Raw genomic sequence first — 8,776 nt, 5'->3', positions numbered from 1 at the left:
GTCTTTGTCTACACTTGAGGTTAAATAAATATCTAAGTTATTATTATTATTATTATTATTATTTGGATACAGGTCTCATTCTGTTGCCTAGGCTGGAGAGCAGTGGCACAATCATGGCTCACTGCAGCCCCGACCTCCCCTGTCCAAGTGATCCTCCCCCATCAGCCTCCCCAGTAGCTGGGACTACAGGTGTGTGCCACCATACCTGGCTAATTTAAAAAAAAAAAAATCTTGTGTAGAGACAAGGTCTCACTATGTTCCTCAGGCTGGTCTCAAATTCCAGGACACAAGTGATACTCCCACCTTGGCCTCTCAAACCAAGGGAAATCTCCAGGAAAATGACCACCTGCCTGGCTGGAATTCCAAATAACAAAATGCAGCCCCCTAGAGCATCCATCAGGCTTGTGAACCCCTACTTTTACCCATCAGGGTAATCTATGTTACTCCGATGGGAAATAGTAGCATATTTGCATATTTTCCAAAAGAATATATATGAATATGTGATATAGAATATCCCGTCAGGATTCTTTCCTGGGGATAATAGGGAGACCCTTATTTTCCAATGATTGAGATGGACAATCCATATATAAGTAACACAGAGATATAAAAAGCACTATTAAGATTCTCCCAAAACAGTTGGGTGAAGTAAAATGGGAAGCTGGTTCATAATGGGTATTCATATTCCTCCTTTCAATATCAAGTTGCAAGGCCATAAGTTGGCATTTTATCACTTTGAGCATATTTTCTTTTAAACAAAATGAACTTTGGACAAAATGATATTTATTTATGGTTTTCATAAGATCTAATAATCCTCAGTCATGTTATACAACTTGAAAACTCACAAAATAGACATATTATATGAAGATTGATCTCATTGTTTAAAGACTACTTAGCAAGCAATTAAGAGTCATGTGTTGGCTGGGCACAGTGGCTCACGCCTGTAATCCCAACACTTTGGGAGGCTGAGGTGGCCGGATCACCTGAGGTCAGGAGTTTGAGACCAGCAGGCCAACGTGGTGAAACCTAGTCTCTACTAAAAACAGAAAAATTAGCTGGGTGTGGTGGTGGGTGCCTGTAATCCCAGCTATTTGGGAAGCTGAGGCAGGAGAATTGCTTGAACCCAGGAGGCGGAGGTTGCAGTGAGTGGAGATTGCGCCACTGCACTCCAGCCTGGGCAACAGAGTAAGACTTCATCTGAAAAAAAAAGAGTCGTGTTATTGCAACAATACAAGTTTTGAGGTCAGATAAACTTGAGTTAAATTTGAGTTAAATACCAGCTCTACTACTTACCAATTATATGCTTTTTTAATAAGTTAGAAATTGCCCTAGGCCATAGTCAACTTGTTTGTATATATAGGTATTAAAATACTACAGGGTTCTAAAGATTAAATAAAATCACCTTTATAGGTTCTTATAAACCTGGTCCAGAGGACACACTAATATATTTTAGGTCCACTGTTTGTCTCTGTTTTCCTCATCATTTATAAAAAGAATCACCACAATATTCTTTTAAATATTTAGCTTTTTTAGTGCATTTCTATGACTTAACAGCTGCTAACATATTGATATTAAAAAAGGAAAAAACTAAAATTAGAAAGAACTGCTATAACTTACAATTAAGAGGAATAGCTCTAAAATTGTTGGTGTAAAGATATAATTTTATAAACAGACATATATTATGTGGAACAACATTTACTTGAATTCAAACATAGAGTGAAGAAAGCACATTTAATTCTAAAGAAATTATTCATTATTTAACTGAGCAAGATATGTAATATCTATAATTATTACAATTCAATTTTGTTTCCTGAACATTTGTTCAAGTATTATTTTTGTATAAAAACAATTAATACATTAACAATTATAGCTTATCACAAAATTTGGCCTCATATTTGAAACAGATTGGGGTATTTGGCTTTAGGATAACTTGTTTTCAAAATCTTTTTGCTGATACCTATATAAAATAAATGCAAGCAATTTCTGATTCTACATACTAACTGAGGGAAGCAAGAAAGAGTGTTATCTGAAGTAATGTATTCAAAACATTAAATTTTGAAACATAATTTATTCTCTTCCAAAATATTTCTCTTTCTATTCATGTCTGATTTGCAATAAACTGAGTGGAAAATAGACTCTATGCTGGAATCAGAGATTATGCTCAGGGATGTGTCTGGACACTGATTCTATTCTGTTTTTCATCCTATGTCCACCCCCATCATCCCACCCAACACATAAAAACATGGTTTTACTGATAATCAATTTGACTCAAAACCAAGATTGTTTGTATTAGTTGAGAACAGATGAAAAGCTTGTTTGAAAGAAAAGTGGTACACAAGACATGAAGCTGCTCAAACCCATCAAGGTCCTCTCACCAAGACAGTGTCAAGAGTGGCAGCACACCCTATTTATGATGAGATGCTATGCTTTAAAGTAAATAGATCAAGAAACTTAGCAAATCTTCAAGTGCCTACTGAGGGGTCTAAGGTGAGAGCATTTCTTCCCACCAATTGATAGGCAATCTGAATTTGAAACACTCTTATGCATAACCATTAAAGTCAGAAGCAGAGGACAGGAACCAGAAGCTCAGTTGTGTCCTGGGTGACAGGAAAAAGATGTCCTGAGATTAAATTTGACTGAGGATAATGAAAAAGTGAATAATTTACATGAAGAGCCCAGAATTTATTTATGGGGATAATATTTTGAAGTTTTAACTCACTTTTTTTCTCTATATATCTTTGTGCCATGTGATCATTTCAAAGCCCAGACAACTTGTTTATTCCACCTCCATTTTCCTAGGGAAGGAATTCTAGTAAACCGAGGGAATAAAGAAAACAACTCTTGGTTCCTTAGTTTCAAACAAGCTTTCAAAATTCATAGCCAAAACAAATTTTGAAATTCAAAGCTTTTGCTTTATAAAAGCTGTGCTGTTTTATTTGCAATTGTCTAAGGATTCAAGGAAACAGAGCATGAAGTTTATCCCACAAATAACTTACTTTAGAGAGATGTGAAGTCAGGCAGTTATTCCTGATCTCCTCAATTGTTCCAGTTTTTATAAGCTAAGGGAGAGGGGGCAATGAGAAAGAAGAAAAAATACCTTAACTGTCAGTATGATTCTCTACCTCTTTCCCAGTTGCAGTCAAGCTAGCAGGAAGGAAGGGCGATATAGAAAGAGAGTTAAATTAGAGACTTTGAGAGCAAACATTCTTGTGCCTACATGCCCAGATAGAGTCCTGAACATCAACAAGACTTATAAAGCTTGTGTGATGGTTAATATTGACTGTCAACTTGATTGGACTGAAGGATGCAAAGTATTATTCCTGGTGTGTCTGTGCGGTGTTACCAAAGGAGATTAACATTTGAGTCACTGGACTGGGAGAGGCAGACTCACCCTCAATCTGGGTGGGCACCATCTAATAAGCTGCCAGTTTGATTAGAATAAAGCAGGCAGAAGAAGGTGGAAGGACTTGACTTGCTGAGTCTTCTGGCCTCCATCTTTCTCCTGTGCTGGATGCTTCCTGCCCTCAAACATAGGACTCCAGATTCTTCAGCTTTTGGACTCTTGGACTTACATCAGTGGTTTGCTAGGGGCTCTCAGGCCTTCAGCCATGGACTGAAGGCTGCAGTGTCAGCTTACCTACTTTTGAGGTTTTGGAACTCAGGCTGGCTTCCTTGTTCCTCAGCTTGCAGATGGCCTATTTTGGGACTAAATTTTGTGGTCATGTAAGTCAATACACCTTAATAAACTCCCCTTTATCTATCTATCTATCCTATTAGTTCTGTCCCTCTAGAGAACCCTAACTAATACAGTCTGTCATGTCACTCATGGCATGGGATCTGTCTCAGCTTTCTATTGCTGCTGTAACAAACAAATTGCCACAAATTTAGTGCAATTAAAAAAAACAAAATTTTAAATATCTCGTAGTTCTGTAGATCAAAAGTCTGAAATGAGTCTCACACACTGGGCTAAGGTGCAGGAGGCAGCATAGCTGCTTTCCTTTATCGAGCTTTTAGGGGAAAGTTCATTTCCTTACATTTTCCAGCTTCTACAGGCCTCTCATATTCCTGATACATGGCTTTTCTTCTGTCTTCAAAGCCAGTAATTGTAGGTTGAGTCCTTCTTATATGGCATCACTCTGTTCTGCTAATGTTCTCACATCTTCTCTGACTCTTCTTTTCCTTCACTCTTCCACTTTTGAGAGCTGTTGTTATTACACTGGGCTCATTAAGATAATCCACAATGATCTATCAATTTTTTTGTTGTTGTTGTTTGTTTTTTTTTTGTTTTGGAGACAGGGCCTCACTCTGTGGCCCAGGCTGGAGTGCAGTGGTGCAATCTTGGCTCACTGCAACCTCCTCCTCCTGGCTTCAAGCAATTGTTGTGCCTCAGCCTCCCAAGTAACTGGGACTACAGGCACGTGCCACCATGCCTCGCTAATTTTTTGTAATTTAGTAGAGATGGGGTTTCACCATGTTGCCCAGGCTGGTCTCGAACTCCTGAGTTCAGGCCATCCACCTGCCTTGGCCTCCCAAACTGCTGGCGTTACAGGCATGAGCCACCGCATCTGGCCTAACAATCTCCCTATGTAAAAACCAGCTGTTTAGCAACCATAATTCCACCTGCAACCTGAAGTCTACCCTGCCAAGTAACAATAACACATTCACATGTTCTGAGGATGAAGATGTGGAAATTTGAGAGAGAAGGGAGATTATTATTCTGCGCAATACAGAAACCATGTACTATAAATGACTGCATGAGGTACCCAGGTATGTAGGCAGGCAGGAATGAGGCTCACAGGGATTCTATGTCATTCCACATGGGAAAGGAGATTGGTTACAGCTGAAGTTTCCCATGAAACAAAGAGCCAGAGAAAACAGAATGAATTTTGTGGTTGAAGTAAGAAAGACTTAAAGTGAATTTGCATGGGCCAAAGAGAAGAGACCAGTTGGGAATGTGAATTTAGATGCCAGGATACATCAATGCCAATTAGGCATCTTTATCCTTCCCTATACATTGACATTATTTAAACATCTTGGAATTTAGAAAATATGGGAAATTATAAATTGAGTAAGATCAGTCTGAATTGATGAAGACTTCCCAGAAATGACTGGGATTGCATTTTTACCACAGAGTAGAATTGGGAACTAAGAAAAAAGGTATGTTTTAACTTAAAAAAAAAGAAATAACAAAATTCTTAGAAGTTATACTTCTCACTTATCCAAATTTGTAGAATACGAAATTGTACCCACGCACTTATGTTCGAAGAAAACTCCTGTTTTTGCAGAAAAAAAAATGTAAAAAACAGAAAATTACTTCTAGCCTGGAAGCTCCAAAATGGAATAGGGGCTGTTTTTAATTACCGGAGATAATCCACAGCAATATGGTAATAGAATAAGAAGGAGGTTTTTTTTCTATATTCATTTCAAATAAAGCTATTTAAATGACAAGGCTAATAATTTGCTGTCATGGTCACACAACTGAGTGTTGAAAACCAAGTGACTTGGGTTTTGGTCTTCTTTGATGCTTTACTATAGCTTCTGCTAGCCATGATTTAAAATTGAAGACTGGTCATTTACCTCTGCTAGGGGTAAACATTCACAAAAATCCTGAAGGGATTTGATTCCCTAATGGGAGTTATAAAGCTTGTGAACTGAATACACAAGTAAAATTTAAATTGCGTCTTTACTCACCAGTGGCTTAATAGGGGAGAAACTCTTGTTCAGACAAATAATTAGCTTTCACAATGGAAAGGTAAACAAAACTATAAATTATGATTAGGTAAGTGTTCTTCCCTGCAAAGACAAATTAGCCAATATTTATTCTTCAGCTGTGATACATAGATGCTATAATATTGCGAGAGTTTTCTGGATAAATTTGATAAAAAAGGTTAAAAGAGCCTGAAAGCTATATACTCTTTTGCTCAAGATATGTATGTTAATCCAGTTGCTTCATTTATATCTTACTTTGTCATTTTCCCCTTCTCTGTTAGAAATAAATTCTAAAGGAAAATTTAAATTTTTAATTGCAAAGGGAAACAAATATCCAGAAGGAAACCTTGCATATTTATTTTATTATTATTATTATTATTATTTTTGGAGATGGAGTCTTGCTCTGTCACCCAGGCTGGAGTGCACTTGGGCGATCTCAGCTCACTGCAACCTCCACCTCCTGGGTTCAAGCGATTCTCCTGCCTCAGCCTCCCGAGTAGCTGGGATTACAGGTGCCCCCCACCATGCCCAGCTAATTTTTGTATTTTTGATAGAGACGGGATTTCACCATGTTGGTCAGGCAGTCTCCAACTCCTGACCTCAGGTGATCCTCAGCCTCCCAAAATTCTGGGATTACAAGCATGAGCCACCATGCCTGGCTTGCATATGAAAATGTTCTTCAACTGAAAGTTCTGTGAGAATGTCAGATTTGTAAAATCTTTTATTTACGTTAAAATCTTGCCACTTAAATGCATACGTTAGAGGCAATCAAACATCTAGTATCAAAAAGCAGAGGGTTTTAAATTTTTATTTTAGTTCTCCAAAATTAGTGTTTTTAAAGAATGGAACATTGTATTAGTCAGCCTGGGCTGCCACAGAAAATGCCATACACTGGCATTAAAAAGCAAACAAATAAATAACAAATAAACCTATTAAAAAGCAAACAAATAAACAAAGCCAAAAAATACAGGGTTTTTTTTTTCACAATTCTGAATGCTGGTAAATCCAAGATCATGGTGCAACCCCTGGTAAGGGTTGTCTTCCTGGCTTGCAGACAGCCTTCTAGCTATGTCCTCATTTACCTTTTTTACAACTACATTAATCCTATTAGATTAGGGTCTGACTGTTACTGTGTCTGGAATTGGTTCCTTCTGGTGGGTTCTTGGTCTTGCTGACTTCAAGAATGAAGCCGCGGACCTTCACGGTGAGTGTCACAGCTCTTAAAGATGGTGTGTCTGGAGTTTGCTCCTTCAGATGTTCAGATGTGTACAGAGTTTCTTCCTTCCAGTGGGTTAGTGGTCTTGCTGACTTAAGGAGTGAAGCCACAGACCTTTGCAGTGAATTTTACAGCTCTTAAAGGCAGTGCAGACCCAAAGAGTGAGCAGCAGCAAGATTTATTGTGAAGAGTGAAAGAACAAAGCTTCCACAGCGTGGAAGGGGACCTGAGCAGGTTGACGCTGCTGGCTAGGGTGGCCAGCTTTTATTCTTATTTGGCCCCGCCCACATCCCGCTGATTGGTCCATTTTACAGAGTGCTGATTGGCGCACTTAAAATCCTTTAGCTAAACACAGAGCGCTGATTGGTGCATTTTTACAGAGTGCTGATTGGTGCATTTACAATCCTTTAGCTAGACACAAAGTGCTGATTGGTGCATTTTTCCAGAGTGCTCACTGGTGCATTTACAATCCTCTAGCTAGACAGAAAATTTCTCCAAGTCCCCACTGGACCCAGGAGCCCAGCTGGCTTCACCTCTCATTATGACCTTGTTTAACCTTTGTAATCTTTTAATAGGCCCTGTCTCCAAATGCAGTCATATTGAGGCTTAACACTTCAGTATATACATTTTAGAAAACACAAATATTCAGTTCATAGCAAATCTGAAAAATTTATTTATAAGTTCCCAAAGAATGTAGTCCTTTTAGTTTTAGTTCTTGGGGAGGGGTAAAGGAGGAGGAGGAAGAAAAACGGAGAAGAAGGAAAAAGAAGGAGGAAGGAGAAGGAAGGAGGAGAAGGAAGAAGGAAGAAGGAGGAGGAACAAGAAGAGGAAGGAGAAGGAAGAGAAAGGAGGAGAAAAGGAGGAGGAGGCAGAGGAGGGGAAAGAAGAAGAAGAAAGAGGACGAGAAGGAGGAAGAGGAAAAGCAGAAGCAGAAGAAGCAGAAGAAACAGAAGCAGCAGCAGCAGCAGCAGCAGCAGCAGCAGCAGCAGAAGAAGAAGAAGAAGAAGAAAATGGCATCCAAATAGAATGCAAATAAAAAAGGAAAAAGTGAAATTATCTGTTTGCTGATGACAAGATCTTATATGTAGAGAAAATTCTAAATACTCCATCAAAAAATGTTGTAAATGATAAAAAAATTCGGTAAAATTGCAGGATACAAAATCAATATACAAAAATCTTTAACATTCTTATACATCAGCAACTAATCATCTAAAAGATAAATTAAGAAAACAATTCTACTTACAATATCATTAAAAAATACTTAGGAGTAAATTTAATCAAAAAAGTAAAAGATCTGTGTACTGAAAATTATAAACTAATGATAAAAGGAATTGAAGAATACACAAATAAAATATATCATATGTTCATGGATTGAAATAATATTGTTAAAGTGTTTATACTATCCAAAATGACCTATAGATTTAAAGCAATCCTATCAAAATCCAATGTCATTTATCACAATAGAAAAAAAATTCTAAAGTTTGTATGAAGCCACAAAATAATCAAAGTAACCAAGGCAATCTTAAGAAGTGCAAAGCTGAAAGCATTACATTATCTGATTTCAAAATATACTGCAAAGCTGTAGTGACCAAAGCAGCATGATACTGGCATAAAAACAAACACATTGACCAATGAACCTAGATAGAGAGCTCAGAAATAAATCCATTGCATTTATGACCAATTGATTTTTGACAAAGGTGCCAAGATCACACAATGGGGAAAGAGTCTCTTTAATAAATGATGTTGAAAAAACTGGATGTTCACATGCAACAAAATGAAATTAGACCTTTGTCTCACACCATGTACCAAAATCAACTAAAAATGTATTAAATACTTAAATGAAAGACCTGAAAC

At 37.7% G+C, this 8,776-nt stretch overlaps 1 annotated feature.

Annotated features, from left to right (window-relative positions):
- Positions 6,131 to 6,347: a silencer, noted in NCBI's record as "fragment chr5:44960236-44960452 (GRCh37/hg19 assembly coordinates)". NCBI's record gives its function as "represses an EF-1alpha promoter that drives an FKBP-Casp9 reporter gene in an ReSE screen in phorbol 12-myristate 13-acetate-treated (for megakaryocytic differentiation) K562 erythroleukemia cells {active_cell/tissue: K562(+PMA)}" and the evidence as "EXISTENCE:reporter gene assay evidence [ECO:0000049][PMID:32094911]".

This window comes from Homo sapiens, chromosome 5 (genome assembly GCF_000001405.40).
Source record: "Homo sapiens chromosome 5, GRCh38.p14 Primary Assembly".
Lineage (NCBI taxonomy): Eukaryota > Metazoa > Chordata > Mammalia > Primates > Hominidae > Homo > Homo sapiens.
The sequence above is the reverse complement of the archived record's forward strand: the minus strand, read 5'-3'. Positions and strand labels throughout refer to the sequence as shown.